Source organism: Homo sapiens, chromosome 5, assembly GCF_000001405.40.
Source record: "Homo sapiens chromosome 5, GRCh38.p14 Primary Assembly".
NCBI classification, from domain to species: domain Eukaryota; kingdom Metazoa; phylum Chordata; class Mammalia; order Primates; family Hominidae; genus Homo; species Homo sapiens.
This window is the reverse complement of record NC_000005.10, coordinates 104,609,428-104,631,501: the sequence shown is the minus strand read 5'-3', so window position 1 is coordinate 104,631,501 and position 22,074 is coordinate 104,609,428. Positions and strand designations below refer to the sequence as shown.

General features: G+C 34.3%; 1 long non-coding RNA gene across 8 annotated transcripts in view; it reads left to right on the top strand.

Moving 5' to 3' along the window:
* Window positions 1–1,972, top strand: part of LOC105379109 (uncharacterized) — a 144,274-nt gene extending 142,302 nt beyond the window's left edge. For all 8 annotated transcript variants that reach the window (NR_188306.1, NR_188304.1, NR_188311.1 and 5 more), the window contains one exon: window positions 846–1,972. This is a non-coding gene — a long non-coding RNA (uncharacterized LOC105379109). The remainder of the gene's footprint in view (window positions 1–845) is intronic.
* Window positions 1,973–22,074: the final 20,102 nt, after the last annotated feature.

The following is a 22,074-nucleotide window of genomic DNA, read 5'->3' as shown; positions in this document are numbered from 1 at the left end:
TAGTGGAAATATAGGTCTAGGAAGTTACTCTTAGAATTAACTTCTCTGGATTTTATTTTCTTTACTCATAAGGTCAAAAGGTTGTGTTTAGAAGATTTATAAAAGTTTAGCCATATAACAGTAGAAATAAGATGTGAGGCTTGGTAATTTGGGGGATGTGGTAGTGGAAAGGCATAGACATTGCAACTGGATTATAGTTTTAGAATATTATCACCTATTCTCTTTGAAATATTGAGTAGAAAATTGACATAAAAAGTTTTTCAATGAATTCAGTTTTAAATCTTTAGAAAATTTAACATGAGAGTAACTAGCACAGTTAGTTAATACTAAGAGAAAGTTCTAGTTTTTCAGGACTTGGTGAAAACTCTAGCTGTGAGTTTCATGATTACCTAGATTTCCTTAAATGTCAACTTAGAATTAGACATTCTAGAATGAAGGTTCTATTGGAACATGGGTAAAAAACATAGTCCTTGAATAATAACTAAGTTGGCAAATCGTAATTTTAAATAGTATAACAAAATTCAGTAATTACTGATCATGGATGTTTCCTTAAAGTAATAAATATCATTGTCCAAAGATGCTTATAATTGTTTATTTTATGTATCTATAAACTTTGTCTCTGTAGTAAAGTATGGAATTCTCTCTTTTTCTTTGGTCTATAAAGACAGTCACAATTTGAAGTCACATCATTCAGCAGTTTTCTTACCTTTTCCTTTTTACTACCTTTATCTTTTCGGTATATTTTAGATAATTCATAAACTGTTAACGACTAGTTCCCTAATGTGTCAGTTTATAATCTCGACTTACAAAATCAATTTCTAAACATACCACATTTCTTTTTTCAGGAACACAATTATTTCTGGAAAGAGTATTACACTCAGTATTCTGCATTTCATATGGCATTTCAAAGTCCTGAGAATGACTCTCCGTAGTCTTCTATGTACTAATTAAACATGAACATGTGGTAAACAACATGGACTATTCCAGTGGACAGAAAGCGTCAAGTTAAAATGTTTAAGTGCCCCATATTTTTCTAAGTATTCTTATCCAGTTGGTCTGACTGGTCATTATCTGTTTTGTAAAACTTCCCAAACAACTCATCAATATTTAAATAGCTATCCAAATTATAAACTTCAAATAGCAGAATCCAAATGTCATTTATGCATAATTCAAAAGAACTTTGCTGAAAACAATCTTTGGATTACAATTGCTCTCTAATCCACCTCTTGAATTTCTACATAAGAATTCAATGCCAATGCAATTCAAATCAATTCATTCATGGTTGATGTTAAAACTTCCTTTAAGAGGATAGTATGGCAGAAACAAAACTGAATTTGAACAAGAGGGAAACTGCAGAAGATAAACATTTTTTCTGTAGAAAGTTTCCAACTTTTACATTTTTGTGGTAATTTTTAACATTATAGGTATAATTAAATTATCACTAAAGTTATATCTATTAATCCTAAGTGGTTTAAAATAATTTCTCTGTTCAAACTGATGCAGCTCGCTATTACAATTTAATATAATTTTTTCAAACTATAATTGATTTCTAAGACTAGTAAAATTTTTGAGCTACCATTAACCCCAAAATATCTGGAAAAAGAAAATCATCATAGGTAACTCCTGATGACTCCTACCTCTTTCAGTCACATACTTAGCATTATCTGCTGTACAGGTTTAAAGAATGTTGGTCACAGGATTGAAGTGAATATTTCATTTATGTGTAGCCAAAATATTATCATATGAAGCCCAAAAGAAGAGTAAAATACATCCTTGTGATATTATTAACATGACTTTGTGCCAGACAAAGCATAGTTACTCTACAGATGGATTATGAATAGAGAAAAAGTGTGTAGTTGAATTCTTTGGAATTATGGACTATATTCCATAAATCCCAGATGGAGTCACTATGATTAATGTTACCTCAATGAATACAAAATGAATAAATAATTATCCTCCACTTACTGTAAAGTATTACCTTCAGTGTATAATTCACGTGAGTTACATGCAGTTCACAGTAATGTAAAGAGCTTAGTTTGAACTGACAAAGGACAGGAAATTCAGAGTTATAGCTGAAAGTACCTTGGAGTGTTGGTCTTTTTAGCACATATGGTAAAAACTATCTGTAGTGTGAATTCACATATGGTGGGTCTTTTCATAGGTTTCATTTCCCTGAGGAAAGGGAGCTTTCCTGTGAGATAAAAGGAAGAAGCTCCCATACTGGAACTATTTGAAAAATGGCTATGTGTGAAATTTAAATTCATAATGTGTACCATATACATATAAAGATTTCTGTAAACCAATGACATGTGAGCATGAACAGAAGTTAACAATATTCTCTGACCTCAGCTGTCACTTCACAAAAATGTGCCATATTATGCAGAAGTGTATGGATGACTCAGCATAATCTCTTGCAACAGTTTGAAAAACAAATCAAATCTGGGATCTATAGAAAAAGGCAAGTATGTGTTATTTAATTTCCAGTATTAAATGGACTTGAGATATTTCCCAGCCTACAAATTTACTGTGGAGTATAAACTTGTGAATCTTTAAAGAAAGATCAAAATATTGGTACATTTTAGATATTTCATGATTTATTTAAAATATATATAAACTACACTTAAAATACAGAATATGAAATACTTTTTGCAGTTTTTCAGTATCTTCAGTTACCTTAATATTTATTGTTCAGATTTTGTGTGTGAAAGTTTTGGAAAAAATGTGTAAAGTTATCATATAAGGGCTGAGCATACTGAAATATAGAGATGTGCATATATATATGCACACACACAATATTTTAGTGAAAAATAGTTCATTAGTGGATAATGAACATAATAATTTGCAAGATTGTGATATAATTAGAACAACATTCATATCAGTTATAAACATATAACTAATAGAGTTTGAATATTGGCTCAAACTAGAACTAATCTAGTTTAAATATTGAAATAGGAGAATTTCCTGACCTCCCTCACAGGACATGTGACAGGGGTGTGGCTCATCTGTTTGGCCGCTATGCACACTCAAACTCTTATGGGAGGGGGAGCATGCAGAAGGGCAGGTGCAGGAGCCAGGGTGAGCGGCCCTGGGCTCTGGCCCCATGGCAGCATCTAGGGGTGGGTGTCTGAGGCCTCTGAAGCCAGAGTGAGCATGCGTTACAGCTTTGCCATCTGCAGACAGCTTAAGTATTAAACAGCTCATTGGACCCTCTGTCTTTTCACAAGGGCAGAGGGAATGTGTGATAGCTTTCTGTAACTGGAGTTCTTATTTGGCATCCAGAAAAAATCAGGTCACACACAGATTTGAAGGATGGTGAAAGCAGGTGGAGGTGGCTATCAGCAGGATGGATGGGGAGCTGGAAAGGGGATGGAGTGGGAAGATGATCTTCCCCTGGAGTTTGGCCATCCAGCAACTGATCTCTCTGACTGTCCCCAGCCAAACTCCTCTTGACATTCAGCTGTTCCTTATCTTGTCTGCTTCTCTGCTGCTCTTCTCTTTGTCTGCTCATCTGCTTGTGGAGCCTGGGGTTTGAGTTTTATATGGGTACAGGATAGGAGGGTGTGACAGGCCAAAAGGCAACTTTTGGGCATGAAAATAGGAATGACTGTTCCGATTTAGGGCTGAGGGTTTCCAGGCTTCAGGGGGAAGCTTTGCTGGGGAACCTCCCTCTTCTACCCAGTATTTTCCTGTCTCCTGTCCATATCAGTATCAATCAACAATTGAACAATAAATCAAAATACCCAAATGTATAGAAAATAATATAATGTTCCATAATACAACACAATCATACAATGAGAAGAAAAAGTAAGAAAAAGGAATCCTAATACAATGTTCCATAATACAACATTTTGTTCCATAATACAACACAATCATACAATGAGAAGAAAAGGGAAGAAAAAGGAATCTTATACAATGAGGCTAACTGCATTTATTTGGGAATATGGGTGAGAGTAAGGATGAGTGAGTATACAGTGTGTGTGTCTGTGTATTGTATCCATGTGTATAAAGAGGGATACAGAAACACTATTAGAAATTTCCGTATTCATCTCTAGAATATGGTATTGACTGTGATCACAATAAAAAGGAATTATTGGCAGAGGTGTATCCAGCTACTTATGTTGAATGCTGATCCTGGCTGTTTCAGGGCTCAGGTCTGTCATTTGCAGCATTCCTTCCCTAGAAGCAAAGCTACCTAGGCAAGATTTGAGTCATCCTTTTGGAGTGAACAAGTTCTTCCCTGACATCCATTCATTACACTAATCAACAAATTTCCCCATCTTTCCCATTTCTAACAAAACTAAACAAAAGAACCAAAACAGAAAAATTACCTCACTTTCTTAATATAAAATGCTAAAATAAGGGCTTCAGACATCCATCTGTGTGGAATATTTGTTTAAAAATGATTTTATCAAAATTAGGATTATTTGGTCTACTTAGAATCTCCAGGGTTTTTGTTATACATAATTTTTTATGTCATAAATTTTTGAGGCAGTAAATTCCTCTGTGTGTGTGTGTGTGTGTGTGTGTGTGTGTGTGATGTCAATGGGTGATAGAGAGTATGTCTTACATCATTTTTAGCTAGCTGTTGATTTTGATGAAATGAAGTCAATGTCCAGTCTCCACTTGAGCTGACGTGTATATTTCTGCAGATAATACTTGATATATTCTCCTTTGTATTAACTGTGGTCTACTAAAAGTATCTTTAGGCCAGAAGATAATAAATGTGAGTTCCCACCCACTTCCTTGTGTTCAGAATCACAGGTGTGTCTGTCACTGAATAATGGACAATTCTTCTTTTCAAAATCAATATTCCTTGGGGTAGCCAAATTTATTAGGAGACTGCTATTGATGCCATAATGACTAAAATTAACTGATTAGTTTTCCTGTGACAAGTTTATTTGGGAAGTGTAGGAATTGTAACTAGAAAATAGACTAAAACAATTTTTTAACGTGATTAATAAAAACCATATGGTTTTTCATATGGTCATTACACAATATATGTACCCTTCAAGTTAAGAAATTATATCCTTTTCATGCTTTGTATAAAAATGAAGAAAAATATTCTTTCTAGTTTACATTTTTACATCACTGTAAATGTTAAAGGCATTTATTTGAATGTGCTATCACAGAATGACATAAATCCACTCAGTGCATTTATTTGATTGATTGCACATCACACATTCAAATAAACATGTACGGCATGATCTCAGATTCAGATAAACACACTGAATTCATTTAAATGCCTTCACATTCATATTGGATTGAACATTCAAATGCATTTAAATCAGTCTCAGAAGCGACTCACTGATGCATTGTTAAAAGGTGAACATGATGCTTGCTAATACTTGTCTGTTAGAATCTTACAGAGTGCAACATATACCCAAGGCTGTTATATTGTAAATGCACAGAACCATATCTACGCTAAAGATAAGTTTGAGTAGAATGTGCCAGGAGATATCTCAGTGGGACTATGTTTGAAATTTTGTGTAATGCGGAGCAACACATCAGTTTTTTTCTCAAAGAATCTAAAATTAATTTATTAAAATCCCCTCAGAGGATGCAGAGTAAATATTATAATACCAGAATCAAATTTTATAAAAGTATAGCCTTCTTCAAGACATACCTAAGAAGCTTAGGTAACTGTATAATTAGGTAACGTGAGCTCACCTGCTTCATGTAACTCATGAGACAGCTAAATTAATACCTCCCTCTGCTCTTTTTCCCACAGAGTATATATGAGCGGGTCACAAAATAAAATAGACTAAAATAAAGAATATAATGACATGCTTGATACATTACTTCAGCTTTTAATATTTTGGTGATTTTTCAAAAAGTTTTCAGTAGCCAGATATCACGATGGTAGATTTTGCATTGCATACAGATTATTTGATAATCTACAGTGTTTATTTGCTATACTACTATATTCAGAAGAAAAAAAGCCTAGGCTATTTAACTCTTATTCTAAAATTATGTCTATTAAAATACAAGATTTAAGATTAACTTCTACTTTGTATCTAGACTTTTTTTCCAGACTCCAATTAATGCAGTTTAGATGTACAACCATTTTCAAGTTTTTGTAAAGACTCAGTCCACTTGAAGGATATGGCCAAACAGCTCTGTAAATGCAGTAGCTTTCAGTGGGGAAAGCTCTGCCTTCTTAGGAGGTGGAATCAAATTATAGTTTTACAAACGCAACACTAACATACCTCTTCTCTTACTCCTCAAGGAAAGAGAAAACTTTCTTCTTCAGAAGCTAGAGACATTAAGCATCAGTGTTTATCTAAATAGGACAAGGAAAGGCTCCAAGATTCCACTAGGAAAGGTTGGCTAGAAGCCTATATGGGTAATTTTGTCATAAAACCTGTTATTTTCCAAGAATATACAAGTACATTAGGACTTTCAATTGTGTTTTTTTCATGGGAACGTTCAGTGCTGCTCTTAGGGATTAATCCTCTGGTGCTATGGCTTTCTCTGAAGCATTCTCATGGCCCAGTTTCTGTTCAGGCTAGTATGTTTGTGACGGTGGGTGAGACAAGAGGAAGCTACAGACCTTCTTCCCAATTCAACAGCAGCAGATTTCCTTTTAATGCTCGTGGATTTTTGGCACTCCTGCCTTGACACCCCCCAAATTAGGGAAAATACTCACTCTTTTCTCAATTCCCATTATTGGATTATATACCTAGTAATGTTAAGAGAAAAATTCTCCTCCTTCTACAATAATAAACCTTAATTCCCCTCCATGAATGTAAATCAAAATAACTATTAAGAAAATGAATCGGCCAGGCCCGGTGGCTCACGCCTGTAATCCCAGCACTTTGGGAGGTGGAGGTGAGCGGATTTCAAGGTCAGGAGATCAAGACCACTCTGCTAACACGGTGAAACCTCCTCTCTACTAAAAATACAAAAAAATAGCTGGGCATGGTGGCGGGCACCTGTAGTTCCAGCTACTCGGGAGGCTGAGGCAGGAGAATGGTGTGAACCCAGGAGGCAGAGCTTGCAGTGAGCCGAGATCGAGCCACTGCACTCCAGCCTGGGTGACAGAGTGAGACTCCGTCTCAAAAAAAAAAAAAAAGAATGTGAATCAAAATAACTATTAGTTCCCAATCTTCTTTTTTCTTTCAGGTCTACAGGTCCTAGGGAAAAGACTAGATCAACATTCACTTTGAGTAGAATTGCCAGATTTAGCAAATAAAAATACAAGATACCTCATTAAATTTAAATTAAATTGTTATAAGCAATTTTTTTACTATAACTATAGCTCATGCAATATTTTGGAAATACTTATACTAAACATTGTTTGTATTGATCTGTTATTAAAACTCAAATATAACTGGGTACCCTGTATTTTATCTGAAAACTATAAAGTGAAAAAGGAGAAGAAATTATTTTTTTAATTATTTATTTATAATTCTATAGGGGAGATAGAGATTGCTCAAGAGAGCAATTAATTTTTTAAAGACTCAGCTTGTTGCAAGAGATGATGAAATTGGTTGTGTAATTTGCCTCACTTTCCTCTTCCTTTTGGTAAGTGCAAATACAATTTATACTCCAAAGTACCAGTGTGCTAGATAGGATATTTGCTCCCTTTTAAAATTATCTTCCTTGAATTTAAAATATCTGCAAATTAAAATAACAAAACAATGTCTATTCCAGCAGTGTGCTGGAGCCACACACAATAGGGCAAGTGGCTGGCTTGGAGAGTGTGGAAGACTCATTCCAAGTTCCCTCGAATAGATTTTCTTTAGCTATCATCAAATTTAGAGGAGAAACTCAGGTGGTGATTATTTCGGAAGAGAAGGCTTGAGAAGAGAAGTTTGTTTATATAAACATTTTGATACTTGAAAATATTGCTCTTTCTCTTTTTTTCAGAAATGATAAAAAAGAAAAATATTTACATTCCTGTGATCAAAGTTGAATAATAAACAGAGTACTAACTTGATGAGCTAATGTCTAACTTTCCAAATCATTTTATTGTAAAATGCAGGCCCTCTCCAAAATCTGAGGGAAGAGTGAAACAACTTCTCTTTTAACTATATTTTTAAAAATTTAATGTACTGGAAACATTACATTGCAAATGCTTCAATAAATAGAAAGCATATACTTTTCATTCAAGATATAAAATGTGTATATTAAGCAAAATAGAATCTTCACATTTCCACCACAATTGAACTTAATAGGTTCCTATCATCACTATTATGATCACTATTATGTTGGTGTTTTCATTAGCCAGAAAATCGAATAATACCTGGGTTCCACTACCTTGACCAAACTGTTCCAAATAGAGAGTGGCTATTTCAATTGAGATTCAATCATAGGGCAATCTTTATATTTTTATGTAATAGCATTTGCTCTTGAAATGACATTGACAGCCCGTGGAACATGTATTTATCTTTTGTGTGGAAACGCACATAGTTGTTTGTTGTTAAGTAAATAGTCTAAATAGTTGAAATCCATTGTGTGTTCTCTCACCCAACATTTACTCCACACTCCTTCTGTGCCAACCAATATGACCAAGAGTAGAAAGCTAAAATGAGAAATTTCTAAAACTCCTTTGTAGATAGGGCTGGGAATGTAAGCATATCCAGCAAAGTAAATGAATATATATGTAAACAACAATAGCAATAACAGCAGTGTGTGTTCACACCTGTGTGTGTGTGTGTGTGTGTGTGTGTGTGTGTAAGTCAGCTAGAAGAATATGGAAAAAAGCCAGGATATGCTAATACAATCTGCCTCCTTCTTTTGTTCCTGAATGTGCACACTATACCTGGACTGCAGATATGCAGATCCAGCAGATCTTTTTAAGACACTAAGTGAAATTTTTGTAACCCGGCATTCCCAGGTGATAAAGTATCTATTTATCTTTACAATTTTAAAGTATGATAATACACAATACGCACTATACATTTTACAGCATTTTTATCATGTTCTCCTTAGGCTTTTGCTACTGCTGACATCAAAATTGTCTCACTTCCTACCCAGTCAAATTCTTTCTCCTTTGTTCTCCTTTCTCATTTATTTATTCAACCATAATCACTCAGCCTTATATTAACTATGTAATCCATCTGTCTTCATTTGTGAGAAAACCTTAAAACCTTAAATCATGCATATTAGTGGCAAATATATTTTAATTTTAGTTTCTCAAATTTGATTAATTCTCAATTGCTTCTCTAGTGGTTAGCTCAGAGCAAGGGGCACAGCTGTATATTTGTGGGTGTGCTGAGACTCTGTTTGCTGGTGGTGGAAGGAAGTCATTACATTAGGAACAATGACTGGATGCCTAAGAGCAATGGCTGCTCCCTAAACGGAGACTTCCCATCCCAAGCAATCTGTACTTAAATTCTCAGACCACATAAGTGAATGAGAAGAAACTCATCATAAGGGACTTATGAGACAGGCAATAAAGGTGCATTGGAGGGCAAAAAGTAGGGAAAAATCTGATTTTGGAAAACTACATATGGTTCATCTTTCATACACTTCTACTGACATTTATGATTTTGCCTAGCCTCAGAACTCTATACCAGAATTCTTGACAGAGGAGGCTCTCTAATCAAGATGAACACATCAGATAATTTTCTAACCAGAGAAGCTATAGAAAATTGGAGCATACTTTGAAAATGTTTTGAAAAGTCATCTGGATGTGGAAATATGAAGCTGGTTTTCCTCCACTATTTCATGATGACCCTTAAAAGGAGGTAAATGGAGGTGAGGCATAAAATTGACCGGGACATGGGAACAGGTAAGGATGTGGAAGCACATCTAGGGAATTTTTTTAGAATCACCAGCAGCAGCTGTTAGGAGCACTGCACAGAGGCATTCCAAATGTTTCCAAGGGCTGTCAGTTTTCAAACACTTTAGAAAACCCCTGAATAAAGGAAAAAGTACCTGTTTTTGGAGTCTGGAATTTCATTGACTATGGTGCTTGTGGCAGAGCCACAGTTTTTTTTGTGTGTGTGATTTTTATTGTGATCCATCTACTATGGATCTACCATGGTGTGGTCTGGGAACGAGAAACACAATATATCATACTTACATTTACCACACTTGAATAAGCAAGGCTATCATCCTTTACATATTAGCTAATGCAATCTTTACAACAATCCTAGGATATAGGCGTTATTTTTATTCCCATTTTATAGGTATGAAAACCAAATTTAAAATTACTTAGAAGTTTCACATCATACAGGCAAATTAGCTTCTTTCTCTGTCTTTCTCTCCCTCTTTCTTTCTCTCACATTTCTCTGATGTATCCAAGGTAACTATTAATACATACTTTATAGCCCACTTGTGCTGTATCTTTCTCTTCCCCTTGACCTGCAATGTATCTTTACATTATCTTCTCAGAAGCAGGCATGAAATGCAATGTTACTTTTGTTTTTAATACCAAAATAATATAAATCTAATTAGAATTATTATTTGCCTGAGAGACAAATATTCCTTTTTCTGAACTATACTTGCATATTCTTATACTTGCATATTCTTATTGCAAATTCTTATATTTATACTTGCATATGCATATTTGCTGAATTATGGATATGAATCCATATTATCTATATTATCTTTAGCCAGGCCTGGTGGTACATGCCTTAGTCCTAGCTACTTAGGTGAGTGAGGTAGGAACACTTAATCCCGGGAGTTTAAGGTTGCAGTGAGCTATAATCACACCACTACACTCTAGCCTGGGTGACAGAGCAAGAACCCATCTCAAATAAATAAATAAATAAATAAATAAATAAATAAATAAATGGAAAGAAAAAGAAAATAAAAAGAATGTTTTCTCTAGAATCTGGGTCATTTAATGCGTTACTACTGCATCTTTAAATGTGTTCACTTTTACTCCCATTTTTACCGATATTTTTCTCTAAGATGATTTTTATAATCATGAAAATTATTCATCAACATTTACTATTCAAACTTAAAATAGCTTGCACATTTTAATGCAGAAAAATAGACTACTACCCAGACTTATCCCAGAATATATAAACTGAATGGAAATGAATGTAAGTATATTTGTATTAGTTTCCAAGCAAAGCTGCTTATGCAATGGGATTTAAAAAATGAGAACCAATTGTTCAAAACTCAGTTTTCTTCAAGTATAATGTACTAAAAATCATGCAGAACTTTGATGTTGTAAGCTAATTTTTTTTTTTTGTTTCCAGTAGGGGCATAAATAAAGGCAGAAAAGGATTAATGATACTTTTTAAAAGTTATTATTTGTAAAGATTTCAAACCAAGAAAGCACTGAATTTCTGATAAGCACTGAATTACAATAACTTCTCTATTCATTTTAACAAGGAAAATGTGAAAACTGAATACAAGGTACATATAATCCAAACATTCTAAACATTGGAAACCAAAGCAGAGATAACATGGTTGTTTTGGATCTGTGTATCTGACATGAAATAAGTCTAGTCAATTATGTTTGGGCTGTTTTGCTGCAGTGCACACTTCTACCATTTTGTCTTATATTCTCTCTCATCACCTCATTCTTACTTCTATATTGGAAATGACCAGAATAGCTTCTCTTTGTGACCGGAGCTGAAAACATATCAAAGCAGGTTTTTCATGCCAAAAGATATTTTCTGGTGTCTATGCTTGTGTGTGTATGTTTGTTCAGTTTGATTTTATTATTTCTGTATATATAAGGACTTAAAAAATGGTTCAAGGTAGCATTGTTAAAGGGAAAATAAGCAATTAAAAGGTAAAAGTATCTATTTCCTAAACTCCCAAAGGAACATTTTTGATGATGAGAATAAGGTTGCTTTTGAAAGAAAACTGAATCACAACATATGATGAAAATGTCTTTTAAAGAACTATGGGTAGAAACAAGTACTAAAATTTACCATGGCCCAAAAAGGCTTGGAGTTTATTGCAATTCGACAGTTTGATTCCACTTAATTTGCTTCCTTATGTTTACATGCTGAATAACTTTTATTAACTCTGAAGCTAACAAAACAGAGGGTAATATTATAAGACCATGTTTATTCGGACTATTGCCTGCATTTGTGCCATAGAAAGATTTCTCCCTCTTTCTGCCTTGCCTAAGACAAAGATCTTTAATAAACTTGTGTGATTACTGTAAATACACTTCGCACCAGCCTCATTTATTCAGAGATTTCAACCATGTCAAATACATTGTTGCTTATTGGGAGTTGAGCCACATGCCTGAACAATAAATTTGTCAGGATTTTGGAATACATCATTTGGAATTGCATTGCCTGTGTAATTCACAAGAAAAGATTATCTAATAGAGACTCTTGATAAAACAAAAACCTAATTATTATAATTTTCCTGGGAAAGGCTTCATCCAGTAAAACCGAAATTCAGAAATTGAAGAGTGGATTCAACTCATAATATTTATGTATGTTATGGTAAGGACTTCTCTACAATACTGTGACCAAAAAAGTTTAAAAGGAAGTTACTTATAAAATATCTCTGGATCAGATCAAATGTAGCTTGGCTTGTATAATTGCTCTGCCTAGCTTGTGGAAATTAAAAAAAAAAGTTCTGCTTTAAATTCAAGAAATAGGCAATGTGCATTCTACTTTTAATTTCAAAGATGTTTGGTGCATGTTCTGCCAAGGGAAGAGACAATCTTGAGACGATTTTGTATAAAAGTAATTTAGAACATAGTTTAGCAACTACTAAAATACTCCAGATTACATGATGCCTTGATCATGGTGCTTTCTCTTTGCATGTATTGATTTGCTAGAGTCTAGAAAAAAGTCCTACGAGGTAGGAGCTCTTGCTATTATTTTATAGTGAAGAAACAGGGACCCTGAGAGATTAAACTTTTTCAAGCCCATATGGCCAGTAATCAGAAGAGCTAGGATTTGAACCTTCCTAAGTCTTGCTCCTGAGTATCTGCTACTCATCACTAAACTACAAAGCACATAAAAGCAATTAACTCCTGCCATCATGTCTCCTTCAAAAGGCCCAGAGATAGACTTTTCTAGAACCTGCTGTAATTTCAACAATGCTAATGAATGACCCTGAGCTCAAGATATGTCAACTTAGTAGTATATGAATAACCAAGAAAACTGCTTTATTGGACAATTTCTCTTCAGTCTATTTCTCAGAATTTTTCATGGAATAATGCACATCATACATCACTACCACTGTCAATAACACAATGGTTGCTTCCTGGAGAAAGGATTGGATTTTGTCATAAGGTGTTGTGTATAAGCCTCTTAGGAAAGATATAATCACCATTACTAAGTATCTAAGTATCATTTCTAAGAAGTAACTTCTATGACAATACATTCTCAAGAGCTTATGAACATAAGGTTCTGAAAAGGAAAACGAATGCAGTCACATTTGGAAGAAAACCTTGCATCCATAAATATGAAAACAAGGAATAGGAATTTCTTTTTTTTTAGATAGATATGATCAAAATAAATTGCTTATGCTTCTATGGAAATAATATGCCCACTCACATATGATAAACTCTATTAATTTTGCCAGTAATGAAGATTAATGACGTGAAAATCTATGTAGAACTGCAAAGATACCAATATGGTCATGCACTGCGTAACTATGTTTCTCTCAGTCAATAATAGACTGCACATACTATGGTGATCCCATAAGATTTTAATGAAGCTGAAAAATTCCTATTATCTAGTGGTGTCATAGTTGTTTCAATGTCACTGCACGATTTATTAATTTTTTAATAAATTTAATGTAGCCTAAGTGTAGAGTGTTCAGAAAGTCTACGGTAGTGTGCAGTAATGTGCTAGGTCTTCACATTTACTCACCAATCACTCACTCTCCAGAATAACTTCCATTCCTGAAAGTTTCATTCATGGTAAGTGCTCTATACAACTGTATAGAACATTTTTTAAAACAATTTTTTACCTTTTATACTGTATTCTTACTATGCTTTGTCTATGTTTAGATATGTTTAGAAACACAAATACTTAGCATTATTTTGCAGTTGCCTCCAGTAGTAAGTATAGCAACATGCCATACATGTTTGAAGCCTAGGAGCAATAGGCTATGCAATGTAGCCTAGATGTGTATGCAGTAGGCAATACCCTTTAGGTTTGTGTAAGTATACTCCGCGATGTTCACACAATGAACAATGCCTAACGGTGCATTTCTCAGAATATATTTCCATCATTAAATGATGCGTAACGGTACTTATAATATTAACTTTCATGAAACTACTTGTATTTATTGTTCATTAATTTTGTATTAGGAACTGTGCATAGCACCCGTTGAAATATCTCACTTAGTCTTTATTAAAATCATTTGATGTAAGTAGTACTATTATTCCAATTTACAATATGAGAAAACTTAGAAAAGAGAAGTAGGATATCTTGTTCAACACCAAATCGTGAAGTAGCAAAGGTTGTACTAAAGTTCAGGTTTGACTGATCTCAGTCTATACTCTTAACCGTCCTTAAGCGAATGATGAATTATGTACTTAAATTAAACTATTTTAATAAAATATTTTTTCTTCTTGATTGTTTCTTATGAAAATATAACCATTTGTCATTTCATTAAAAATATATCACTGATGATGATATGTCGGGTACATTGAGCACCAATTAATGAAGACCAGTATAGTGTTAAGACTTTCAACTAATATTCTGTGTCCTGGGAATTTAACAGAAGATCTGATAAAGCCATAAAATATGTCTAACTCTAATAATGGGCTAAACATAGAATAACCTTTAGAAAATTTTCAGGAAGTGACATACCACCTCAATACATCAGATTTCTAAGAAACAGGTAGGAATCGGGAAATGAAACTTCCTTCTAAGTTTGTTGTAGCAAAATTTCTAGTATTCAACCCCACAGACTGCTATGTGTGACACACTTGCCTTGAAAATAATGCAAGAAGTTTAATACTTTCTTGTTCTACTGGGTCCTAAAGAGCGTTTTCTTTAAAAAGCAACATTTGCTAATACAAGATTAACGCGTTAAAAAAATAGGAATCCTCTGAGGTGATAAGGATGAACTTGATAATACCAAGAAATTACTGATAGTGATTCCCCATACTGATTAGCCTTACAGTCATCTCTGACCATCATAGTTCTGTACCAGTTATTTGTAGCATATAAATTCCAGACACTACCATTTCTGGTTTTGCATTTACCTGAGTTGAGCTTAAGAAATCTGTAGACAGCAACTTGAACAAAGGTGTCATGACTACACTGTGTCACCCCCAAGCAAACTAAAAAACAAAAAGTTCAGAGTAATAAGTATGCCCTAAAGCTGATTTTTATAAAATACTTGCAAAGTGTTTTGCTAGGATTTTCATCTATCTTAAACACTAGGAGTCCATACTGTGAAAACTGCTAAAGGTGGGACGTCTCAATATTTGCACTGGTTGTCTCCATGGAAGCTTTTAAGAGTTTCTACAAGACGAAAGAGAAAGTGGAATTCTCAGTGCAAAAGAAGTAAAGTGCAACTGCTCTTTAATTAGCCTTGCAGTTGTTCCTCCTAGTGTTACGTGATACTAGAATCAATAGAAGCATAAGCTAGTCCCTGTAGCCACTTTCTCCTCTTCCTCCTTGTCATCCTCTTCTTCCTCTTCGTCTTTCTCTTTTGCCTTTTCCTTCTTTTTTATTCATGCAAATATTACTATCATTGCTTTGCTTTGAGAATTATCATCTTTGCTTTGAGAATATGAGAACTAACCACAAAGGAGACAGTAATCTTCTCTGGCCACTGTATGTGCTAAAGAGGAAACATTTTCTATTTCTCCACTCATTGGTGTAATACAGAGAGATCACTGCAAAACACTTCTTTTCATACTCTCCAAACAATAGTTGGGGCCTTCAGTGGTCTGCTGGAAAGGTGCACTCTACACCATGACAAGAGCTTGAAAACTGCAGCAGATACCAGCCTTCCTAAAAAAAGTAGTTTTCATAGCATTTAGAAACCTTTAGAGCAATTTGGCATTTCTGTGACATCCAAGTATGTGATCATTTTTCTAGTAGTTCACTTTTATTATATCTGACAAAAAATATTAGTCCCTAAGGATGAGAAAAAAATAAAGTGTTCCTTCACTACAGATGGTTTGAGAAGCACTGATCTGGAGCCTCAAAGCCACATACTGACCTACATATTTGGGTCCTTCACAGCTACTAACTGCAGTACATCCCGTGGGAGGATGGAGATAGTCAAGGGGGACAGCTTTTAATTTTATTGGAAGGAAAACTGAGGTTGAACTTACTCATTTCCCTTGTCCAACTTGTCTGTATAGTTTTTCATGGGAATGTGTATTGTAGGGCAGAATAAACTTGTCTTCTGAAAATAGATGGTTAAGTTATATTAGTTTTGTGATTTAAGATGAACCAGCATGATGGGGATAGGTAGCAGGTAACAGGAGATGGGTGATGTTAATGTATAAAGGTAGGAGTGATGCACATTTGATAGTCAGTTCTTGAAATTTAAAAAGGTTTAACTGTTTGCAAATATTCTCCCTAAATTAGTTCTTCCAGAATTATTAGAAGTGACCAGAATAAAAGGAGGAGCTGTTGTGCGAGAGTTACTGACAAAATGTAAGCATTCTGAACTCAGATATATCTCGGATTTTAGTCAAAGTTTATTGCAAGATTTATAGAAAAAATACTAGCTGTTATACAAGTATACATCAACACTAGTGTGACCTCAGAGAATAAACATAAATATTTCAAAATTTATCCTAGAAATCACCAAAGTATTAAATACTTTGTCATTTGGAATCATTATGTCATATATCTTTAGTTCGATTTTAATAGAATCCAGTGTAAAGAAACCAAACGTTTTATAGGTAGATAGATAGATAGATAGATAGATAGATAGGTAGATAGAATATATATATATGTGTATATACATATGTGTATATATATACACACACATATACAACCTCATGGGAGACACTAGCTGTCAAATTTGACATTTGCCACCTGGATGGAGTACAGTAGAGTCAAAGACAAGAGAGTTAAGTCAAAAGACAACTGCCGTCGTGTGTGCCAAAAACTTTGTTTAAACACTTTTGTTCTTTTTTTCCGTATTAGAGATGATAATTTTTTCTTAGAAGTCCTTTTCCTAAGCAAAAGGATTAAAATTGATAGGTGTTTAGTTTCTCATGGGAAATGCTTTTAAAATAACAGGGTCATCTCAGAGGATTGCGTTAGTCAAATATAAAACAATATAAACTTCTTGAATGAAAGTCGCGAAAGTCCTATCAAAGAGAGCTGTTTGTTAGGTCCCCTAAGTCTAAATTAGAAGATGGAACTGATCCTTGTAACTGAGATTAGAAGTAAATTTTTAAAAGCAAACTCTTGTGCTAAAGAAGGAACAATTTTAAAAGAACATCCAGTTCTCTAATTCTTGACAAGTGTGGCTCATTTTCACTTGCTTTAGATGGATGCTTTATAGGTTACAAATGATTTTACTCCTCAGAGACTTTTCAAAATACATGTGGACTCCATTATGCTATAGGCCTCCTCCCCACTCCATTAAAAGAAAAAGAGAATAACTAAAACCTTAACAGTGACACGCTGAAAGGTATGATCAGTTATGAAGCATTTTTGTTTAAAACTATCTAAACTAGCTGCTCAGCCCCAAATGGTAGGTGACTGTTTGTTTGATTGTTTGGTTTTCTTTTTCCTCTCAGCAGGGCATCCCAAGTCTTAATTTGCAAATCTCAGTCTTTGATTTTCAGAGGACATGGTATAACTTACAAGACCTGTTTAGCAGTGGGTCACTAAATATTTTCAAATTAATGTGGATAGATATGTATAAAAAATCAATTTTCAAAGAAAAATTAAAAATGATATGTGAATATGAACTTAAATTTTAAAGCATCATTATGTTATTTTAAAACCTCACATTTATTTCATATTAGTGAGTAAATCTTACGCCAGAAATGGATTTTCTGATCTTGTTTGGAACCTTATTTCTGTTAAGCTTTACACCTTCATAATCCCTTCTTGTCAATTCCCCTTGTTTTGCCAAGAATTTAGGAGCTTATGACATCAAAATAAATAGCCTGCAGAATTGAATAAAACTTAATAAAAATTTGAGTCTGTTTAAGGGCAGACAATGCCACAGCATAGGAAGATGATCCAACAGAACGTTCATAAAGAGGAATAATTTGCCACCTTTGAAAATTAGTTTGAGATTTATTACTTAAAGTCTAATCTAAATAAGAGTATGACATTTTTAACAAAATATTTAAATCACTGTATACAAATCTTCATTACTTCAAATGCTTCCAATCCTCTGGCCATACCACTTAAGCTTCCTTTTGCCACAGAATCTGGTTTGAAGTAGTCTCTCTTGGTTTTCCTTCAGTTCTCCTTGAGAGTAGAAGCAGAAGAAAAAATGACATTAATGAGGAAGGCGAGTAAGTAGTTGGAAAATGATAATCCTGTTAAGAGCAGTTTGACATAGGCTGGAGTGCAGTGGCACAATCTCCACTAACTGCAACCTCTGCCTCCCAGGTTCAAGCGATTCTCCTGCCTCAGCCTCTTGAATAGCTGGGATTACAGGCGCTCACCACGGTGCCCGGCTAATTTTTGTATTTTTAGTAGAGATGGGGTCTCACCGTGTTGACCAGGATGGTCTCGATTTCCTGGCCTCGTGATCCTCCTGCCTCGGCCTCCCAAAGTGCTGGCATCACAGGCGTGAGCCACCGTGCCCAGCCTGTAAGGATAAACATTCAAGTCTTGCTCTACCTTTAGGAAGGGTCCAGAGTAGAGTCAAGGAATAGACTACTTACCGCAGAATCTAACCTCTCATTGGGAAAGTATATGCTATTGTGCTGTGGATACAAGGTTCAGACAGTAAAGGAGGAGACGAAAGCACTAGTGATGGGGAAGATGGAATTATGCAGGTTTATAATCACAATTTCCACAGTCTTGACATGCCTTCAAGGTTTCTACTTGATTTAAACACTAGATCACTCTAGATGGAAAATATTAAATTTTTTGTCAAACTTGCTATGATTTATTTTAGTATGTAGATACAGTCATGCTTCTGCAAGCTCATGTTAAAGATTTATCTTGTTTAAAACATAACAAAATGAACAAAAGAGGGGTTAAACTATACCCATCCGATCAATGCTGAACAAAAACTACAACCACAAACATTCTTATCAGATCATTTTTTTCCTAAGAAAAGACTTATTTATTTACATTACCTTTTAAGCTAGAATAGCCGTCGTAATTCTCGACCAAATATGTTGGTCTTTTTTTCTTAACCTCTTCTCACTGCTATTGTCAAAACTGGCTGTAATCTCATGCAGATGAGATATTGATCTGTTGCCGATGTTCACTGAGCAGCCAAAGGGGAATCACATTACCAGCTACAAACTCCATCAATCATAGTCTCCTTAATAACCGCACTTAAACGATCTCTCTTGGCATTAGCTTATATTGCACCCATGGCTGGCATCCAGACTTGAGAAAGAAAAAGGCTCATTTTGAAGGGCAGATTTGAGGCCACTATAGATGATTTAAATAAAAGGTCTTAGACTTTCCCTAGAACAACAGGGGTTATTACATTAGTTAATTTAATCCAATTAATTTTTTTCGGGTCTACAGAAATGGAGTAAAAGATGTGTGGATTTGTTAATAAATATGGGATTATGTCCTTGACACTCAAATTAAATACTTATAAGTGAAGCTTAAAAGCCTGCATGGAACCTGAGGACATGCATTTGGATTGCATCCTCCGTGTTAAATCTACTTCCTTTTGTCTCTGCTTCTTCCTCCCCCTACACACAGATATTTGAAAAGTCACTACAAAGTAAAAACAGGAAAAAGAGGAGGCAGAAAAAAGATAGGGGTGTAATAAAGCAATAATGATAGCTAAAAACACAATCTATCATAATTACTGCTGCGGGAACTAACAAACTGTTAGCACGTGCTCCTGTCATATTGTCAACTCAGCTGTTCTACTTCACTATTGGCAGCCATGACAGAACAGGAAATCAGACGGAGGGTGTAGCAAACATAAAAAAAGACACCTCGTTTTGACTACATACTTTATTTGGCTCTCTTGTAGTCTAAGGATGCCATGAATTTGGAAACAAGCCCGGTAGGAACAACTATTCTTCCTGTCCAATACCACTCTAACCCCCAACCTAACATTTTTTTTTAAACTGCATTTGTTTCCTTCCAGAATACTTAATTGGGTTCACAAATTAGCCTATTCTCAAACTTCAGTGGACCAAAAGGCTTCTTTGCATAGCTGATTACAATACAGAGTCTTAGGCTTTCTCTCTATGCTGATTCAGCTGGTATTAGTGAGGTGAGGCCCAGGATAGGGCATTTGTAACAAGTTCCAGAGAGGGGTTACTGATGCGTTGTAAAAAAATTATACAAGCAGTTTGGGTCAAGAATGGGCATATTGCATTTTAAATGTTAGTGTGACTTGAATTTCATCCAGAAGCTGTTAAATCTTGATTGCTTCAGCAGAAAAGGAAACAGAATAGTGATTTGATTTTCTCCATGTAAAATCTTATATGATATTAATTGCAACTCAGTAAAAACTAAGCCTAGAACCATAAAAACTATGAATCAATGAAAAAAAAATCAGAACAAATTTCTGATTCTACCCTAAACTAGAGCCTCTTTTTATGTATGTGTGTGTGATGTGGGATGCTAGTGTTTGCATCTAACCTAGCCCAGTGATGAGCGAAGTAGCGTTTCAACTCAACTACCTCCTTCCAAAACACACACAACAAAATATTTATACATTTTTTTAAAACAAGCTTACCAGATGTCAAATATTAGTTAACACCGAATGCCCCAAATTGTGTTTATAGGACACCAATTCACAAAAATCCTTTTCTAATGTTATTTACCCTATATTAAATATCACAAGAAAGTACTTCTCTGGGGAAAAAATTAAGATGTGTTTTTCTAACTTACTGATGTTTACTCATATCGAAACTGAAAAAAGTTTCAAAATGTGTCTTTAGGAGAAAAAAGATATATTTACAAGTATATAATGGTATTAAATTGAAATTTACAATTTAGAACATGAAATTATATAAATGTACCATATATTATATATCAAATACAATTTATATGATAGAATATTTGTAAATTGTTACTCTCTTATTAATACACAAAAAAGGTTAATACTAAGTATTCAAAAATGTTAAATATTAAACCATAAAGGATGTTTAAGGACACGTATTTTTCCTCTTACATTTTCTGGGTACATAATTCATTATAAAAAATGGAAAAGAAAAATATAACAAGGCATCTCTAAATATTTGCTATATCCAGGTTCTTTCTGTAACAACCTCAGTATTGCTATAATGTGCTGTAGCATATTTGGCCACATATTTTCCTCCATGCAGATGATAATGTGAAATTAATGTGCTTTTATTTTAGTTGACAATATGTTTGTCATTATTTCTGGTGTGTGTGTATGTATATGTATGTATATGTGTGTGTGTACATGTGAGTGTACCTTCACTGTCCTTCTTAACATAACCTTGAAAGCCAGCATTGTGTGTATAATCCAAGTCCCTTAACATTGGATTCGATTTGCCCACACTTTCTCACATCAAAAGTTCCTCTCACCTTCTCTGCTGTTTGAATTCTACTGATACTTTGAAGTCTTTATCAATTCTATTCTATTCCAAGAAGATCTCCTCAAGAATTTTACAATCTTCATCCAATTTTATTAGTCTTATTGGTATTTGATTATATTGAAAGTGTTATTTTTGTTTAAATGTGTTCTCTTAATGAAATTATTTATTTTTAAAGAAACATTAAATACTTTCATGCACTTAATATTTGCTTTGTTACATAATTCACACTTGATATATGGCCACCTCTTACCATTTATAATTCAGTATACATATTTAGTGAATAAAAATGAAATTGAAATTTGTAGTGTATAATAAACTTTACAGGCTAGTATTTGGCATGGCCTCATGTTTAAGAACACACACTCTGAAATCATACTTTTGAGTACTAAAACTACGTATTGGATTTACAAGCATCCTGATCTTAGGCTAGTTATTTATCCTCCCTATGCTTTATTTTTCTCATCTGGAAAATCAGATGACGATTGTGTGGAGAAGAAATATGAGGCGAGGCATGATGGCTCGCGCCTGTA